Raw genomic sequence first — 21,247 nt, 5'->3', positions numbered from 1 at the left:
AATTATGACAAGGTTGCAAGATACAAGGTTGGTGTATAAAAGTCAATTTCTTATATAGCAACAATGAACAAGTGGAATTTTAAATTACAAACACGTTATCATTTACATTTGGTGTAAATATAACAAAATATATATATATAAGAGCTTAATGAAGAAAACTAGAAATTTATGATGAAAGTGATAAAAAAAATTAGATAAATGGAGAGGTATGCCATGTTCATCAGAATTTGAATATTGCCAAGATGTCAGTTCTTCTCAACTTGATCTATAGATTCAATGTAACTGCAATCAAAATCCTAGTATTTTATTTTGTGGATAGCAATAAACCTATTTGATAGCAAACGAAAGGCCCAGAATAGCAAACTCAATAATGATAAAGTCAGAGAGTAAAACTACCTGACCTTGTGCCTTACTATATTTACACAGTATAGTGTTGGCAAAAGACCATACAAATAAAGCAATGGAACGAAAGAGAGAGACCAGGAATAAACCCACATAAATACAATCAACTAATATTTGACAAAAGAGCAAAGGCAATGCAGTGAAGAAAAGGTATTCTTTTTAACAAATGGCATTGGAACAACATGCTCCCCCCCCTAAAAAAAAAAGAATCTAGGAACAGACCTTGCATTCTTCACTAAAACTAACTCAAAATGGATCACAGACCTAAATGTAAAATACAAAATTAGGCTGGGCATGGTGGCTTATGCCTGTAACCCCAGCATTTTGGGAGGCTGAGGTGGGTGACTCACCTGAGGTCAGGAGCTCAAAACCAGCCTGGGCAATATGGTGAAACCTCATCTCTACTAAAAATACAAAAATTAGCTGGGTGTGGTGGTACACACCTGTAATCCCAGCTACTTGGGAGGCTGAGGCAGGAGAATCACTTGAAACGGGGAGGCAGAGGATGTAGTGAGTTGAGATCACGCCATTGCACTACAGCCTGGGTGACAGAACAAAACTCAGTCTCAAAAGTATAAAAATAAATAAAATAAAATATGAACTATAAAACTTCTAGAAGATAATATAGAAGAAAATCTAGATGATCTTGGGTTTAGTGCTGATATTTTAGATGCAACATCAAAGGCACAATCGATAAGAAAAAATCATTAAAGTGTACTTCATAAAAATTAAGAATTTCTGCTGTCAAATATATTGTCAATACAATTAAAAGTTGAGATACATTTGTTTGTGTCCTCTTTTATTTCGTTGAGCAGTGGTTTGTAGTTCTCCTTGAAGAGGTCCTTCACATCCCTTGTAAGTTGGATTCCTAGGTATTTTATTCTCTTTGAAGCAATTGTGAATGGGAGTTCACTCATGATTTGGCTCTCTGATTGTCTGTTATTGGTGTATAAGAATGCTTGTGATTTTTGCACATTGATTTTGTATCCTGAGACTTTGCCAAAGTCGCTTATTAGCTTAAGGATATTTTGGGCTGAGATGATGGGGTTTTCTAGATATACAATCATGTCATCTGCGAACAGGGACAATTTGACTTCGTCTTTTCCTAATTGAATACCCTTTATTTCTTTCTCCTGCCTGATTGCCCTGGCCAGAACTTCCAACACTATGTTGAATAGGAGTGGTGAGAGAGGGCATCCCTATCTTGTGCCAGTTTTCAAAGGGAATGCTTCCAGTTTTTGCCCATTCAGTATGATATTGGCTGTGGGTTTGTCATAGATAGCTCTTATTATTTTGAGATACGTCCCGCCAATACCTAATTTATTGAGAGTTTTTAGCATGATGCACTGCTGAATTTTGTCAGAGACCTCTTCTGCATGTATTGAGATAATCATGTGGTTTTTGTCTTTGGTTCTGTTTATATGCTGGATTACATTTATTGATTTTTCATATGTTGAACCAGCCTTGCATCCCAGGGAGGAAGCCCAGTTGATCATAGTGGATAAGCTTTTTGATGTGCTGCTGGATTTGCCAGTATTTTATTGAGGATTTTTGCATCGATGTTCATCAGGGATATTGGTCTAAAATTCTCTTTTTTAGTTGTGTCTTTGCCAGGCGTTGGTATCAGAATGATGCTGGCCTCATAAAATGAGTTAGGAAGGAGTCCCCCTTTTTCTATTGATTGGAATAGTTTCAGAAGGAATGGTACCAGTTCCTCCTTGTACCTCTGGTAGAATTCGGCTGTGAATCCATCTGGTCCTGGACTTTTTTTGGTTGGTAAGCTATTAATTATTGCCTCAATTTCAGAGCCTGTTATTGGTCTATTCAGAGATTCAACTTCTTCCTGATTTAGTCTTGGTGGGTGTATGTTTTGAGGAATTTATCCATTTCTTGTAGATTTTCTAGTTTATTTGCATAGAGGTGTTTATAGTATTCTCTGATGGTAGTTTGTATTTCTGTGGGATCGGTGGTGATATCCCCTTTATCATTTTTTGTTGCATCTATTTGATTCTTCTCTCTTTTTTTCTTTATTAGTCTTGCTAGCAGTCTATCAATTTTGTTGATCTTTTCAAAAAACCAGCTCCTGAATTCATGGATTTTTTGAAGGGTTTTTTGTGTCTCTACCTCCTTCAGTTCTGCTCTGATCTCAGTTATTTCTTGCCTTCTGCTAGCTTTTGAATGTGTTTGCTCTTGCTTCTCTAGTTCTTTTAATTGTGATGTTAGGGTGTCAATTTTAGATCTTTCCTGCTTTCTCTTGTGGGCATTTAGTGTTATAAACTTGCCTCTACACACTGCTTTAAATGTGTCCCAGATATTCTGGTATGTTGTTTCTTTGTTCTTGTTGGTTTCAAAGAACATCTTTATTTCTGCCTTCATTTTGTTGTGTACCCAGTAGTCATTCAGGAGCAGGTTGTTCAGTTTCCATGTAGTTGAGCGGTTTTGAGTGAGTTTCTTAATCTTGAGTTCTAGTTTGATTTCACTGTGGTCTGAGAGACAGTTTGTTATACTTTCTGTTCTTTTACGTTGGCTGAGGAGTGCTTTACTTTCAACTATGTGGTAAATTTTGGAATAGGTGTGGTGTGGTGCTGAGAAGAATGTATATTCTGTTTATTTGGGGTGGAGGGTTCTGTAGATGTCTATTACGTCCGCTTGGTGCAGAGCTGAATTCAATTCCAGGATATCCTTGTTAACTTTCTGTCTCATTGATCTGTCAAATGTTGACAGTGGGGTATTAAAGTCTCCCATTATTATTGTGTGGGAGTCTAAGTTTCTGTGTAGGTCTCTAAGGACTTGCTTTATGAATGTGGGTGCTCCTGTATTGGGTGCATATATATTTAGGATAGTTAGCTTTTCTTGTTGAATTGATCCCTTTACCATTATGTAATCACCTTCTTTGTCTCTTTTGATCTTTGTTGGTTTAAAGTCTGTTTTATGAGAGACTAGGATTGTAACCCCTGCCTTTTTTTGTTTTCCATTTGCTTGGTAGATCTTCCTCCATCCCTTTATTTTGAGCCTATGTGTATCTCTGCACGTGAGATGGGTCTCCTGAATACAGCACACAGATGGGTCTTGACTCTTTATCCAATTTGCCAGTCTGTGTCTTTTAATTGGAGCATTTATCCCATTTACATTTAAGGTTAATATTGTTATGTGTGAATTTGATCCTGTCATTATGATGTTAGCTGGTTATTTTGCTCGTTAGTTGATGCAGTTTCTTCCTACCATCTATGGTCTTTACAATTTGGTATGTTTTTGCAGTGGCTGGTACTGGTTGTTCCTTTCCATGTTTAGTGCTTCCTTCAGGAGCTCTTGTAGGGCAGACCTGGTGGTGACAAAACAAATGGAAGGGCCGGGCGCGGTGGCTCACGCCTGTAATCCCAGCACTTTGGGAGGCCGAGGCGGGTGGATCATGAGGTCAGGAGATCGAGACCATCCGGGCTAACAAGGTGAAACCCTGTCTCTACTAAAAATACAAAAAATTAGCCGGGCGCGGTGGCGGGCGCCTGTAGTCCCAGCTACTCAGGAGGCTGAGGCAGGAGAATGGCGTGAACCCGGGAAGCGGAGCTTGCAGTGAGCCGAGATTGCGCCACTGCAGTCCGCAGTCCGGCCTGGGCGACAGAGCGAGACTCCGTCTCAAAAAAAAAAAAAAAAACAAAACAAAAAAAAAACAAATGGAAGAACATTCCATGCTCATGGATAAGAAGAATCAATATCGTGAAAATGGCCATACTGCCCCAGGTAATTTATAGATTAAATGCCATCCCCATCAAGCTACCAACGACTTTCTTCACAGAATTGGAAAAAACTACTTTAAAGTTCATATGGAACCAAAAAAGAGCCCACATTGCCAAGTCAATCCTAAGCCAAAAGAACAAAGCTGGAGACATCATGCTACCTGACTTCAAACTATACTACAAGGCTACAGTAACCAAAACAGCATGGTGCTGGTACCAAAACAGAGATGTGGACCAGTGAAACAGAACAGAGCCCTCAGAAATAATACCACACATCTACAACCATCTGATCTTTGACAAATCTGACAAAAGCAAGAAATGGGGAAAGGATTCCCTATTTAACAAACGGTGCTGGGAAAACTGACTAGCCATATGTAGAAAGCTGAAACTGGATCCCTTCCTTACACCTTATACAAAAGTTAATTCAAGGTGGGTTAAAGACTTAAATGTTAGGCCTAAAACCATAAAAACCCTAGAAGAAAACTAGGCAATACCACTCAGGACATAGGCATGGGCAAGGACTTCATGTCTAAAACACCAAAAGCAATGGCAACAAAAGCCAAAATTGACAAATGGGATCTAATTAAACTAAAGAGCTTCTGCACAGCAAAAGAAACTACCATCAGAGTGAAGAGGCAACCTACAGAATGGGAGAAAATTTTTGCAATCTACTCATCTGACAAAGGGCTAATATCCAGAATCTACAAAGAACTCCAACAAATTTATAAGAAAAAAAAACCCCATCACAGAGTGGGCAAAGGATATGAACAGACACTTCTCAAAAGAAGACATTTATGCAGCCAACAGACACATGGAAAAATGCTCATCATCACTCTCCATCGGAGAAATGGAAATCAAAACCACAGTGAGATATCATCTCACACCAGTTAGAATGGCGATCATTAAAAAGTCAGGAAACAACAGGTGGTGGAGAGGATGTGGCGAAATAGGAACACTTTTACACTGTTGGTGGGACTGTAAATTAGTACAACCATTCTGCATAGACAGTGTGGTGATTCCCAAGGATCTAGAACTAGAAATACCATTTGACCCAGCCTTCCCATTACTGGGTATATACCCAAAGGATTATAAATCATGCTGCTATAAAGACACATGCACACATATGTTTATTGCAACACTATTAACAATAGCAAAGACCTGGAACCAACCCAAATGTTCAACAATGATAGACTGGATTAAGAAAATGTGGCACATATACACCATGGAATACTATGCAGCCATAAAAAATGATGAGTTCATGTCCTTTGTAGGGACATGGATGAAGCTGGAAACCATCATTCTCAGCAAAGTGTCACAAGGACAGAAAACCAAACACCGCGTGTTGTCACTCGTAAGTGGGAATTGAACAATGAGAATACTTGGACACAGGACGGGGAACATCACACACTGGGGCCTGTTGTGGGGTCGGGGCAGGGGGAAGGCATAGCATTTGGAGATATACCTAATGTAAATGATGAGTTAATGGATGCAGCACACCAGCATGGCACATGTATACATATGTAACAAACCTGCACGTTTTGCTCAGGTACCCTAGAACTTAAAGTATAATAAAAATATATATATATATTAAATAAAAAAAAGAAAAAAAATAAAAGTTCAGATACAAATTGGCAGGAAGTATTTGCAAAAGACATATCTGATAAAAGGCAGTATTAAAAATATACAAAGAACTCTTAAAATAACAAGAAAACAACCCATTAAAATGGACAAAAGATCTAAACAGATAGCTCACCAAAGAAGATATATAGATGGCAAATAAGCATATGAAAGTATGTTCAATATCATATATCATTAGGGAATTGCAGCTTAAAACAACAATACGATCTTATTAGAATATTCGCAATTCAAAACACTGACAACGTAGAATGCTGGCAAGGATGTGTGCAACAGGAACTTTCATTCATTGCTAGAGAGAATGCAAAATGGTACAGCCATTTTGGAAAACGGTTTGGTAGGCTCCTGCAAAACTAAACATACTCTTACCATGTGATCCAGCAATTGTGTTTCTTGGTATTTATCCAAAGAAACTGAAAACTTATGTTCAGAAAAAACCCTGTACACAGGCCAGGTGCAGTGGCTCACACCTGTAATGTAAGCACTTTGGGAGGCTGAGGTGGGAAGATCACTGGAGCTCAGGAGTTCAAGACCAGCCTGGGCAACAGTGATACCCTGTCTCTACAAAACAAGTAGAAAAATTAGCGAGGCATGGGGCTGTGTTTCTGTAGTCCTAGTTACTCAAGAGGCTGCGGCATGGCTTCTTGAGCCCAGTGAACCATGACAGTGACACTGCATTTCAGCCTGGGCAACAGAGTGGCAACAGAGTGAGACACTGTCTCTAAACAAACAAACAAACAAACAAAAACTTGCACACAGATGTTCATAGTAGCTTTATTCATAACTGCTATAACTTGGAAGCAACCAAAATGCTTTTTAGTAGGTGCCTGAATAAATAAACTTACCACTTCCAGACCATGAAATGTTATTCAGCGCTATAAAGAAATGAGCCATGAAGCCATTAAAAACATAGAGGAAACTAAAATGCATATTTACTAAGTGAAAAAAGTCAATCATAAATGGCTACATACTTTGTGATTTCAAGTATATGGCATTCTGGAAAAGGTAAAAAATACGAAAACACGAAAAAGATCAGTGATTGCGAGAGGTTTTGAAGGGTAGGAGGGATGAATAGGCCAAACACAGAGGATTTTAATGGCTGTTAAACTACTCTGTATTATAGCATAATAGTGGATACATGTCATTTGGAATTTATCCAAACCCGTAGCACATACACCACCAAGAGTGAACCCTAAAGTAAAGCAAGGACTGCAGAGCTCAAAGTATGTGCTTTTGTTTTATTTTTAAAAAGTGTAACTTCTTTAGATCCTCCTGTGTAGGATGTTCTTTTTTCCTTTTTTTTTTTTTTTTTTGAGATGGAGTCTCACCCTGTCGCCCAGGCTGGAGTGCAGTGGCGCGAACTCGGCTCACTGCAAGCTCTGTCTCCTGGGTTCACACCATTCTCCTGCCTCAGCCTCCCGAGTAGCTGGGATAACAGGTGCCCGCCACCACGCCCAGCTATTTTTTTTTTTATATATTTTTAGTAGAGACAGGGTTTCACTGTGTTAGCCAGGATGGTCTTGATTTCGTGACCTTGTGATCCGCCCGCCTCTGCCTCCCGAAGTGCTGGGATTACAGGCATGAGCCACCGCGCCCGGCTTGTATAGGATGTTCTGTAGTGTTATGTATCTCCTTGCAAAAGTGTTATTCTGATAAAAGCTACCCTGTAATAAATGGTACCAAAAATAAGTGCGACTAGTTGACACAGTAATAATTAACTACTTTCAACACGTTATATATTTTCTTCCTACATTGATTTTGATATTGAGTACATAAATATTTTGCTCTTGTTGAGCTGAACTAGTGAAACCTGTTTTTGCATTTGTCTTAAAAACTCTAGAATTTACAGTAGCTTATGCTTAATTTTAATTTTTAAATGTAATATGAGTGTGTTTACATTTGTTTTGTTTACTTAAGGCTTAAAATTGATATAATGTTGAGAAGATCAAGGATGATCAATTGTACTTCCAGTGCCACACAACTGCTTATCTTTTTGAATTGGAACAAAAATAGGACACAATTCTACTTACCAATTTTTAAAAATAATCTAATAATGCTTGCCCTAATAAAAGTATCTACCCAGGCCGTGAAACACACCTGCTGAGGAGTGAATTTAGTTTTGTGATGGATTGCTCTGCCCTCATTACTTTTAAATTAGGTTGTACATAGTATATATCTTTCAAAATTACCTGCACAGGGTTTGCTTACTGAAGAGCTATTAAGTATATAGAAAATGCCCACACTCGGGATTGTAAATGGTGTACTTGTTAATCCCACAATGAATTTTATGTGCTATTCGAATTGATTAAAATAGGTAACATTGCTCATCATTGAAATACTGGCTGATTTTTAATAAAAATATTTTGGTTTGTATGCCAGAAAGTCTTTTTTCATACAACTATTCATTTTGAAACTTCTCCCTTCTAATTCTTCTGTCTCATACTTTTTATCTAAATGGCAAACAATATAGTGAAGTGGAAAAATGACTTAAATTATAATCAGATGACATGCTTAGTATGTGTAATGACATAAAATATTTCTACATATGTATCTATGCGTCTATCATATATATACACACACACACAGACATATATACAAATACCTATGCTTTTGACAATATCTATCTTTAATATTTTTGCTACATCTCTCTTTTTATATTAATACTAGCATAACTTCTGAAATCCCCTTTTGTGACAGATTTATTTTCTTCTTCATGAAGTCAATATTCCAGGAAAAAAAATACCAGCTCTTCAGCATGTTACTTATAATAATCAGTTTTCCAGTTCTAGTCACTGCCCTTCACTATTTCAGCCAGAACTAAGGTGAGACATCTTGAACCCAGATAACACTCTGAGTACTACCAGTAACTGGTTGATCCAGATAAGAGCTACTGGGGTTGGCGTGAGTTCCTTAACTATCAATTGTATTTTAACATTCATCATCATTATTCTTAGAGCACAAAATACAGCTTAGGGGAAACTGTATGCAGACAATATCTTAATACAAATAAAGAAGCAAAACAGTTATACGTATATAACTTAACGCTTTGTATAAAAATGACTATACATACATACACACACTCACACACATATAAAAATATACACATGCACACTGGCTTTTTTCTCTTCTTTTCTCTGAAGAATTGTTTTTGAAAGTTGCAACCCATCATCTTAGTGAGTACACTAGTTCCTAGGGTCATTTAAGTTTCTCATAATATGGTTTTTCCAATCAGCCTTAGGGTTGAATGGAAGGTTATAAGCCAGGAAATCTCTTATTAATAAATTAAACTTATCTCAATAAAATGATTATGATATTTTAGACAAATAATCTCTTTAGGTAATTATGTTTATCTCTAAAACTGAGTCATCCACAATTGCATTAATTAGAGTGGTGGAGAAAGAAAAGGCATAAATGCATTTCTAAAATCATGGCTCAAGTAAATACTGAAAATTTAGATCTGATCAGTTCAACTCAAAGAAAACATTATGGCACCTCACAATTTCAAACTGTTTACCTTTTTAAAAAATGATGAACAACTCCATTAAAGTATATAATTAGTTTATGATTGCATTAACATGTTTTTATTTGTTATATTACCAATATTGTAGGTACCTGAAAAACCTAAGGAAGAATTCTAATGGATATTTTTGTGAGCAAGTAATAAGCATTATGTATCAGTATTAGGGATTTTTCTTGTTAATGGAATCATAATATCAATGGAATGTTTGAAAATAGGAATCATCTGTTGATAATACAAAATAGCAAATAAATTTAGATCCTTAATTGGCACTATTTATGAATGAATAATTCATTCACTATCAAATTATTTAAATAATTTGAAGTATATGACAGGTGCTTTTAAATTATTTTTTATCATTTATAGATGTCTTCTATTAGTTCTACTAACAGAAATTGCATAAACTTATGAATGGTCTCATACTTGTCCATTTGTCCTTAAAATAACATTGTTTATTGGTATCAATAATTTAATTACTCTTTTGTCTCTAATATTTTTTTTCTCACCAAATTTTAGGTTCCTCTTTTTCTTAAAGAAATGATTTCTTTCTTTTCAAATTTTGTGTTAACATAGCATTTTAATATTGAGGACCCTTAATTGCAGCAATTGACATTTATGTAGTGTTTTATTTTTTTCGAGAGTATGTAAATATTAATATAAATTATGTTTAAAATTAATCCCCACAAATCCCTTGTGAAATATGTGAAGTAGTAAGTAACTATATATAAGGATATAAGATTATCATTATTAATGTGTAGATTGAGTGCTATTATTAACTACTTTATTTTTATGAATATAGGAACATTTTTAAAACATTTTTTCTTTGTGTGAAGATGCCTTAAAATGGAATGAAAGTAACGCTTTTACTTTTCTATGTATTTTATTTTATTTTATTTTATTTTTTATTATTATTATTTTTTATTTTATTATTATTATACTTTAAGTTTTAGGGTACATGTGCACAATGTGCAGGTTAGTTACATATATTTTTTTCTTAAATTGTAGGAATGTGATTATTTTGAGAGTCTGACTATTAGCATTGTAACTAAGCTATAGAACCAAAACTAAAAATGATATTTAATAAGGGTGACATTAGATGATTTAAATCAACCTCTACTCTGTTGTCCACAGTGTGGACCTTATTTACATATCATTTGCAAAGACAGATCTTAAAAGATTATCTTCAACTTTTTTAAAGGAAATTTTAACTTCTGTTTTCTGGTCCAGCGTTTTGAGGAGCTTAGAAATTGTCATTCCATCTTAACAATTAAAAAGCTGAAAAAACTAAGGAATCAACAACTCTTATTATATTTGTTAGAGAAGTGAGTTTGCCAGGCAAACCACTGCTCCCCAAAATAAAAAGATATACATACAAATACAGAGATTCACAACTTAACAGGGCAAAAAGGCATTAGCAGAAACCAGTGTGCCAGGTTACTTTTACCAACTACGTCATATCAGGGTATCAAGAAAAATTACAAGACACACTCACAAGCAAAAAGCACAATTTGAAAAGATAGAGCAAGCATCAGAACCACACTCACATATGGCAGAGATGTTGGAATTTATGTTAATATGAACACTAATATTAATATAATATGCTAAGAGCTCAAATAGATAAAGTCAGCAGCATGCAAAAACAGATGAGCATTCTAAGAAAGAATGAAAAAAATTCCCCATTTTTCTTTTCTCTAGTTCCTGGTAACCACCATTCTATTCTCTACTTCTATGAGTTTGATGATATTAGAGACCTTATGTAAGTGAATCATGCAGTGTTTGTCTGTCACTGGCTTATTTCACTTAGCATAATGCAATGAGATATCACCTCACACTTGTTAAGATGGCTATCATAAAAAAAAGTGTTGGCAAGGATGTGGAGAAATTGGAACCCTTATAGACTGTTGCTGGGAATGTAGAATGATGCAGTGATTATGAAAGACAGTATGGAGATTCCTGAAAATAATTAAAAATAGATGGCGGATAGGAGGCAGGACTAGCTTGCAGCTCCTACTCAGACAGAAAGAGCAACATGAGGAGACTTAACATCATGAACTTTTACTCTAAGAACCATCACAGGAACATACAAGGAAAGCTGAGAGAATCCACAGACAGACCCTTTGAAGGAATTGGATCGCTGCAGCAGGCTCCTTGAGATGCCAAAAAATTGTGAGTCTGCTTGTTTTCTCTTGAGGGAAGCTGGTGGTCTGGGGCAAGTTCTAAGGCTTGGTCACTGGCTGCCTGGAAATAGATTTGGTGCTGTTGTGGGGTCAGTGGGAGTGAGACCAGCCTTTAGGACTGCAGGCTGTGTGGGAATGGGGTGAGGCCTGTGACTGCCGGCTTTCCCCCACTTCCCTGGAAACCTGTATAATTCAGCAGAGGCAGCCATAATTCCCCTGGGAACATAACTTCATTGGGCTGAAAACCACAACCCCCATCCCCCACAGCCACCGGAGCAAGTCCTGCCCAGGGAGAGTCTCGGCTCAGATAGGCCTATCTGTGCCCCCACCTGGTGGTCTTTCTCTACCTTCCGTGGTTGCCAAAGACAAAAGTCATAATCTCTTGAGAGCACTTCTCCAGACCTGCCCACTGCCTGAGAAACCTGAATACTTACCAGGCCAGCCTAGGGCAACTTTGCTTTTTCCTTACAGTACTGCAGCTGATGTGTTCTTGAAAGTGCCACCTCCTGGCTGGAGGCCAACCAACACAAAACCAGAAAACTAGACAAAAATACAATCAAGGACCTGCACAGCATCCACTTCACTCCCCTACTACCTCCACCAGAGCAGGTGCTGGTATCCGTGGCTGAAAGATCTGAAGATGAACCACATCACAGGACTCTTTGTATCGACTCCCCAGCACCAGCCAGAGCCTGGTAGCTCTGCTGGGTGGTTAGACCCAGAACAAAAACAATCACTACAGTTTAGCTCTCAGGAAGCCCCACCCCTAAGGGAAGGGGGAGATCACCACATCAAGGGAACAACCGGTGGGACAAAAGAATCTGAACAGCAGCCCTTGAGTCTCATATCTTCCCTCTGACATAGTCTACCCAAATGAGAAGGAACCAGAATAACAATCCTGGTAATACGACAAAATGAGTTTTTTTTTTAACACACCCAATAGATCACCCCAGCTCAATAGCAATGGATCCAAACCAAGATGAAATCTCTGAATTGCAAAAAGAAAAAAAATTCAGAAGGTTGATTATTAAACTAATCAAGGAGGCACCAGAGAAAGGTGAAGTCCAGCTTAAAGAAATGAAAAACATGATACAGAAGATGAAAGGAAAAATCTTCAGTGAAATAACATCAATACAAAACAATCACAACTTCTGGAAATCAAGGACACACTTAGAGAAATGCAAAATGCACTTGAAAGTCTTGACAATAGAATTGAACAAGCAGAAGACAGAACTTCAGAGCTCGAAGACAAGGCTTTTGAATTAACCCAATCCCTCAAAGACAAAAAAGAATTTTAAAAAATCAACAAAGCCTCCGAGGAGTTTGGGACTATGTTAAACATGAAAATCTAAGAATAATTGGAGTTTTTGAGGAAGAAGAGAAGTCTAAAAGTATGGAAAACCTCTCTGAGGTAATAATCGAGAAAAACTTCCCTAGGCTTGCTAGAGATCTAGAAATCCAAATAGAAGTTCAAAGAACACCTGGGAAATTCATCACAAAAAGATTATCACCTAGGCACATAGTCATCAGGTTATCTAAAGTCAAGATGAAGGAAAGAATCTTAAGAGCTGTGAGGCAAAAGCATCAGGTAACCTATAAAGGAAAACCTATCAGAGTAACAGAAGATTTATCAGCAGAAATCCTACAAGCTACAAGGGTTTGTGGTCCTATTTTTAGCCTCCTTTATTAAACAAAACTATTATCAGCCAATAATATTCTATCCAGAGAAACAAAGCTTCATAAATGAAGAAAAAATAGTCGTTTCCAGAAAAACAAATACTGAGAGAATTCACCACTACCAAGCTAGCACTACAACAAATGCTAAAAAGACCTGTAAATCTTGAAAGAAATCCTTGAAATACACCAAAATAAAATGTCCTTAAAGCATAAATCTCACAGGACCTATATAACAATAACACAAAGAAAGCAAACAAGGTATTCAGGCAACAAATAGTATAATCAATAGAATAGTATCTCACATCTCATACTGATGTTGAATGTAGGTGGCCTAAGTGCTCCACTTAAAAGATACAGACTGGCAGAATGAATAAGAATTCACCAAAATTTCTGCTATCTTCAAAAGCATCACCTAAAGATTCACATAAACTTAAAATAAAGGGGTGGAAAAAGATATTCCATGCAAAAGGACACCAAAAGTGATCAGAAGTAGCTATTCTTATATCAGACAAAACAAACTTTAAAGCAACAGCAGTTTAAAAAGACAAAGAGGGACAATATATAATGACAAAAGGACTAGTCCAAGAAGAAAATATTACAATCCTAAATATATATGCACCTAACACTGGAGTTCCCAAATTTATAAAACAATTTACTACTAGCCATAAGAAATGAATTACACAGCACCACAATAATAGTGGGGGACTTTAATACTCCACGGACACCACTAGAGAGATCATCAAGACACAAAGTCAATAAAGAAACAATGGACTAAAACTATATTCTACAACAAATTTAACAGATATTTACAGAACATTTTACTCAAAACCTACAGAATATACATTCTATTCATTAGCACATGGAACATTTTCCAAAATATGGTAGGCCACATAACAAGTCTCAGTAAATTTAAGAAAATTGAAATTATATTAAGTACTCTCTCAGATCATAGTGGAATAAAATTGGAACTCAACTCCAAAAGGAACACTGAAAACCATGCAAATACCTGGAAATTAAATAACCTGTTCTTGAATGATCACTGGGTCAACAATATAATCAAGAAAGGAATTTAAAATTCCTTTGAATGGAACAATAATAGTGCCACAACCTATCAAAACCTCTGGGATATAGCAAAAGTGGTGCTGAGATGAAAGTTCATAGCATTAAATGCCTGAAAGAGCACAAATAGACAATCTAAGGTCACATCTCATGGAACTGGATAAACAAGAACAATCCAAACCCAAACCCAGCAGAAGAAAATAAATAATAAAGATTAGAGTAGAACTGAATGAAATTGAAACAAACAAAAAATACAAAAGATAAATGAAACAAAAAGCTGGTTCTTTGAAAAGATAAATAAAATTGATAGACCATTAGCAAGAATAACCAAGAAAAAAGAGAAAGTACAAATAAGTTTAATTAGAAATAAACAGGAAATATTACTAATGATACCACAGAAATACAAAAGATTATTAAAGTCTACTATGAACACCTTTATGTGCATAAACTAGAAAACCTAGAAGAGATGGATAAACTCCTAGAAATATACAACCCTCCTAGATTAAACCAGGAAGATATAGAAACTCTGAACAGACTGATAACAAGCAACAAGATTAAAATTGTATAAAAAATATTGCCAACCAAAGAAAATCCAGGACCAGACGAATTCACAGCTGAATTCTATCACACATTCAAAGCAGAATTGATACCAATCCTATTGGCACTATTCCACAGGATAAAGAGGAAATCCTCCCTAAATCATTATATGAAGCCAGTATAACCCTAATACCAAAATCAGGGAAGAACATAACAAAAAAAGAAAACTACAGACCAATAACCCTGTTGAACATATATATACAAATCCTCAACAAAATACTAGCTAACAAAATCCAATAGCATATCAAAATAATAATCCACCATGATCAAGTGGGTTTCATACCAGGAATCCAGGAATGGCTTAACATATGCAAGTCAAGAAATGTGATACAACACATAAACAGAATTAAAAACAGAAATCACATGATCATCTCAATAGATGCAGAAAAAGCATTTGACAAAATTCAGCATCCGTTTATGATTAAAACCCTTAGCTAAATTGGCATAGAAGGGACATATCTTAAGGTAATAACAGGCATCTATGACAAACCCACAGCCAACATTATACTGAATGGGGAAAAGTTGAAAGCATTCTCCCTGAGAACTGGAACAAGACAAGGATGACCACTCTCACCACTCCTCTTCAAAATAGTACTGGAAGTCCTAGCCAGAGCAATTGGATAAGAGAAAGAAATCAAGAGTATCCAAATTAGTAAAGAGGAAGTCAAACTGTGGCTGTTTGCTGATGATATACATCTATACCTAGAAAACCCTAAAGACTCACTCAAAAAGCTCCCAGAACTGGTAAATGAAATTAAGCAAAGTTCAGCATACAAAATTAATGTACACAAATCAGTAGCCCTGCCATGCACTAACATGAGCAAGCTGAGAATCAGATCAAGAATGCAACCTCTTCCACTATAGCTGACAAAAAAAAAAAAAAAAAAAAAAAAATCAGGAATATACTTAACCAAGGAGGTGAAAGACCTCTATAAGGAAAACTACAGAACATTGCTGAAAGAAGTCATAGATGATACAAACAAATGGAAACACATTCCATGCCCATGGATAGATAGAATCAATAATGTGAAAATGATCATACTGCTAAAACCAATCTACAAATTCAATGCAATGACCATCAAAATACCACCATCATTCTTCACAGACAGAGAAAAAACAATCCTAAAATTCATATGGAACCAAAAAGAGCCACATAGCCAAAAGACTAAGCTAAAATAACAAACGCAAAGGCATCACATCACCCAACTTCAAACTATACTATAAGGCCATAGTCACCAAAACAGCATGGTACTGATATAAAAATAGGCATAAGGACCAATGGAACAGAACAGAGAACCCAGAAATAAACCCACAGTCAAGAGATCTTCACAGAGCCAACAAAAACATGGAGTGGGGAAAGGACACCCTATTCAACAAATGGTGTTGAGATAATTGACAAGCCACATGTAGAAGAATGAAACTGGATCCTCTTCTCTCACCTTTTACAAAAATCAACTCAATATAGATCAAAGACTTAAATCTAAGACCTGAAACCGTAAAAATTCTAGAAGATAACATTGGAAAAACCCTTCTAGACATTGGCTTAGGCAAAGACTTCCTGACCAAAAACCCAAAAGCAAATGCAACAAAAAGAAAACTAAATAGATGGGACTTAATTAAACTAAAAACATTCTGCAGAGCAAAAGAAATAATCAGCAGAGTTAACAGACAACCCACAGAGTGGAAGAAAATCTTGACAATCTATACATTCGACAAAACACTAATATCTGGAATCTACAACGAACTCAAACAAATCAGCAAGTAAAAAACAAACAATTCCATCAAAAAGTGGTCTAAGTACATGAATAGACAATTCTCAAAAGAAGGTACACAGATGGCCTACCAGCATATGGAAAAATGATCACATCACTAATTATTTAGAACATTCAAATTGAAACCACAATACCACCTCACTTCTGCAAGAGTGGCCATAATCAAAAAATGAAAAAAATAATAGATGTTGGCATAGATGTGGTGACAAGGGAACACTTTTAACACTGGCTGGGAATGTAAACTAGTACAAACACTATGGAAAACATTGTGAAGTTTCCTTAAAGAACTAAAAGTATATCTACCATTTGACCCAGCAATTCCATTACTAGGTGTCTACCCAGAGAAAAAGAAGTCATTATATGCAAAAGATACTTGCACATGGTTGTTTATAACAGCACTATTCACAATTGCAAAAATATGGAACCAGCCCAAATGCCCATCAATCAATGAGTGGATAAAGAAAATGTGATGTAATACCATGAAATACTACTCAGCCATAAAAAGGAATGAAATAATGGCATTCGCAGCAACCTGGATGAAATTAGAGACCATTATTTTAAGTGAAGTAACTCAGGAATGGAAAACCAAACATTGTATGTTCTCACTCATAAGTGGGAGCTAAGCTATGAGGATGCAAAGACATAAGAAGGATACAGTGGACTTTGGGGACTTGGGGAAAGGGTGGGATGGGGTGAGGAATAAAATTCTACCAGTTGGGTAAAGTGTATACTACTTGGATCATGGGTACACCAAAATCTCAGAAATCACAACTAAATAACTTATTCATACAACCAAACATCACCTGTTCCCCCAAAACCTATAAAAATAAAAATAATTAAAAAACTATCATCAGAGTGAACAGAAAACCTACAAAATGGGAGAAAAATGTTGCAATCTCTCCATCTGACAAAGGTCTGGTATCCAGAGTCTACAAGAAACTTAAATAAATTTACAAGAAAAAAGCAGACAACCCACTAAAAAGTGGGCAAAGAACATGAACAGACACTTCTTAAAAGAAGACACTCACAAGACCAACAAGCATATTAAAAAAAGCTCAACATCACAAATCATTAGAGAAATGCAAATCAAAACCACAGTGAGAAACCATCTCATGCCAGTCGGAATGGCAATTATTGAAAAGTCCAGAAACAACAGATGCTGGCGAGGTAGCAGAGAAAAAGAAATGCTTTTACACTGTTGTTGGGAGTGTAAATTAGTTCAACCATTGTGGAAGACACTGTGGTAATTCCTCAAAGATCTAGAGGCAGAAATAGCATGTGACCTAGCAATCCCATTACTGGGTATATACCCAAATGAATATAAATTATTCTATTATAAAGATACATTCACTTGTATGTTCATTGCAGCACTATTTACAATAGCAAAGACACAGAATCAATCCAAATGTCCATCAGTGATAGACTATATAAAGAAAATGTGGTACATACTCACCATGGAATACTATGCAGCCTTAAAAAGGAATGAGATCATGTCCTTTGCAGGGACATGGATGGAGCTGGAAGCTGTTACCCTCAGCAAATTCATGCAGGAATAGAAAACCAAACACCACATGATCTCACTTACAAGTGGGGGCTGAATGATGAGAACATAAGGACACACGGGTGTGGGAACAACACTTACTGGGGTTAGTCGAAGGGAGGGGTGAGGGGAGGTAGAGCATCAGGAAAAACAACCAATGGATACTGGGCTTAATACTAAGGTGATGGGTTGATCTGTGTAGCAAGCCGCCATAGCACACATTTGCCTATGTAACAAACTTGCACATCCTGCACATGTACCCTGGAACTTAAAAGTTGAAGGAAAAAAAATTAAAAAAAGGACTTCCATATAATCCAGCAATCCCACTTCTGTGTAGATATCCCATAAATTGAAACCAAGATCTCAAAGAGATATCTGCATCTCCCTAGTCACTGCAGCATTATTCACAACAAGCAAGCTATTAAGAAAACCCAAATGTTCATTAAATGTTAAATAGATTTTTTTTTTACAATGTGTTGTATCCATGCATGGACTATGATTCAGCCAAAAAAAAAAAAAGAAATCTTTTCATTTGTGACAACATGAATTTATAGCATTCAATGCATATATTAGATAAACAAGAAAAATATAAAATCCATAATCTAAAGTCCAACCTTAAGAAACTAGAATAGGAAGAGCAAATTAAATCCAAAATGAGCAGAAAAAAAGAAATAATAAAAATTAGAGCAGAAATCAATAAAATTTTAAAAAGAAAATCAATTTAGAAAATCAATGAAACCCAACACTTTTTTTTGACAAGCCTCTAGCAAGGCAAACAAATAAAAGAAAGCATATAATTAACTAAGATCATAAATGTAAGTAGGAACACCGTAAATATCCCATGAATATTAAAAGAATAATAAAATGCTATGAATAACTTTTTGTTCATAAATTTGATAACCTAGATGATATGGAATGATTCCTTGAAAGATGCATTTTGATAGCTATCACACAAGAGTAAATAGACAATCTAAATAGGTCTACATCTATTAAAGAAATCTAATCAATAATTAGTAACTCTCCAAAACAAAGCAAAGGGATCAAGTAGGTTCACTGATAAATTTTATCGAACAGCTTAGGGAGAAATCATACCAAGTCAAACTTTCTTTTAGCAGATAGAAGCAGAGGGTATTGTCCTAACTTATTCCATGAATCCATATAATTATATGCTGGATTATACCCAAAGACAGTACAAGAAAACTACAGACCAGTATCTCTCATGTACATTGATGAAAAAACCCTAAACAAAATATGATCAAATTTAACCTAACAATGTACAAAAAAAAGTATATACCACAACCAGGTTGGATTTATTCCAGGTATGCCAAGCTATTTGAACATTTGAAAATCAGTTAATGCAATCCATCACATCCACACGCTAAAGAAGTAAAATCATATGAAAATATCATAGACGGAGTAACAGCATATGATAAAATTCATAAACTCCACTAATACCTTGGGGACACTATTGTATAAGAGTAGAAATATGGTACTACTAAAATTCCCTACAGAAAAGTAAGTGAGCCAAATAAATTGACGAAGAAGGAAGAGGAAAAGGTGAAGAAAGAGGAGGAGGAGGAGAAGAAGGACAAAGAGGAGGAGAAGAAAGACGGGAAGAAGGAGGGGAAGGAAAGAGGATCATAAGGAGGAGAAGAAAGACGGGAAGAAGGAGGGGAAGGAAAGAGGATCATAAGGAGGAGAAGGCGAAACATTAACATTTATTGAACGCTTACTTATTATGTGCCAAGTATTGTCTTAAGGACTTAACATATGTTCATCATAAAATGCTTTTAATAACCCTATGAGGAAGGTACTATTATTATACCCCAATATGATCAGTACTTCAAAAAAGTGATACATAGTAAATAAACCATATGATATGTTTTCATAATAGATACATGATGTATTAATATTATCTTTATATAGCTGCCCTATAGAAAAACTGAACCTAGGAAAATTACCTGTCTTGTTCTTTTAAATGCCTATAATTTTGTGGCAAATTAAACTGAGGCTTTATAAGTCAAATAGTGATAAACTAACATCAAACATTTGTTTTTAAACTTGTTAAAAATTTAAGAAAAAAGTTGTAATTGACCTTTTAAAGTTGAATTTGAAGTTGTTACCCAAAATAAAATTTAGTAGTTTTAATCTATCCATATTAAAGTTACAGTGAAAAACTGGTAGAAATTTATTAATAAAATATCAGTATTAAAGCTCAACATCTTGAATCACAAAATTTGATTACAAGTCATAACTGAGAAATGCTTATTGAATTTGTCAGGGATTATAAGATTCCCATAATGGTATCTATTATTTGAAATATGTAAAGTTCAGTTTGATACTAAAGTATGGTGTCTAATAATCTTAACACATTTAATATATTCAATTAAAATTTAATAAATATTTATTCAAGATTTACTCGTTTAAAATTTACCTCAAAATCAATACTCATAAATATTTAGTAATTATTTTTGATGCATTTGTATAGATTTTTTGATATGATGCTTATTAGTTTTCATTAATAAAGCAAAATTATAGGCAGGTTATATCTAAATTTTTAAAAATGAATGCTGCTTTTCTGATGACAGTAATGAAAAACAGAAAGATGTAATGATATAACTGGTAGTTGGTTATAAGAGACTCTACCAGAAACAAAAAGAAAAATTCTGATGCTTAATTTGTTGTGAACATAATTACCTTTGTTCAAACAAATGATGAACAAAAGTAGAGGAATTGATGCATTGCCAAATACTGCTTTTCCCCAAGATAAAATATTTTTTTACAAAAAGAAATTACATATTCTAGGCTGCTCAACTCTAGCTGTGATAATATCAGTTACCCATATGGGGTAGACCAGAAAGAAATGTGTTTTGTCTTTGTTGCTGTTGTTTCTAATTTGAATGACAAACGTTCACTCATAACATACATTGGCATATGTTACTTTGGAAAAGCCACGGCTGTGACTTTTCAATGCCAAAACAATCGTATGACAATGAATGATATAGTCAATGAGCTAGTCGTTTCATATTCATGACGCCCAGCTCCCTGACTAATTGGTTGACTCAATTCATTGGTTTTATTTCCTCTGTATAAACAAAGCTTGTGAAAAAAAAAATCACTGGCTGCCACAATGAAAG

The 21,247-nt window shown here is 35.6% G+C and overlaps 1 long non-coding RNA gene across 1 annotated transcript in view, besides 2 other annotated features; it reads left to right on the top strand.

The window, feature by feature from the left end:
* The window catches only part of LINC02531 (long intergenic non-protein coding RNA 2531), a 138,833-nt gene that overhangs the window by 93,792 nt on the left and 23,794 nt on the right, over positions 1-21,247 (top strand). The gene's annotated exons all lie outside the window — the stretch shown is intronic.
* Positions 11,098-12,297: an enhancer, noted in NCBI's record as "BRD4-independent group 4 enhancer chr6:93327456-93328655 (GRCh37/hg19 assembly coordinates)". NCBI's record gives its function as "activates an origin of replication core promoter dependent on BRD2, P300/CBP, MED14 and CDK7 cofactors, and independent of BRD4, by STARR-seq in HCT116 cells {active_cell/tissue: HCT116}" and the evidence as "EXISTENCE:reporter gene assay evidence [ECO:0000049][PMID:35650434]".
* Positions 11,232-11,401: an enhancer, noted in NCBI's record as "experimental_97159 CRE fragment used in MPRA reporter constructs". NCBI's record gives its function as "activates a minimal promoter by MPRAs in K562 erythroleukemia cells, with activity observed for the introgressed 6:93328437 variant allele {active_cell/tissue: K562}" and the evidence as "EXISTENCE:reporter gene assay evidence [ECO:0000049][PMID:34662402]".

This window comes from Homo sapiens, chromosome 6 (genome assembly GCF_000001405.40).
Source record: "Homo sapiens chromosome 6, GRCh38.p14 Primary Assembly".
In the NCBI taxonomy this organism is placed as follows: domain Eukaryota; kingdom Metazoa; phylum Chordata; class Mammalia; order Primates; family Hominidae; genus Homo; species Homo sapiens.
This window is presented reverse-complemented; position numbering and strand designations above follow the sequence as displayed.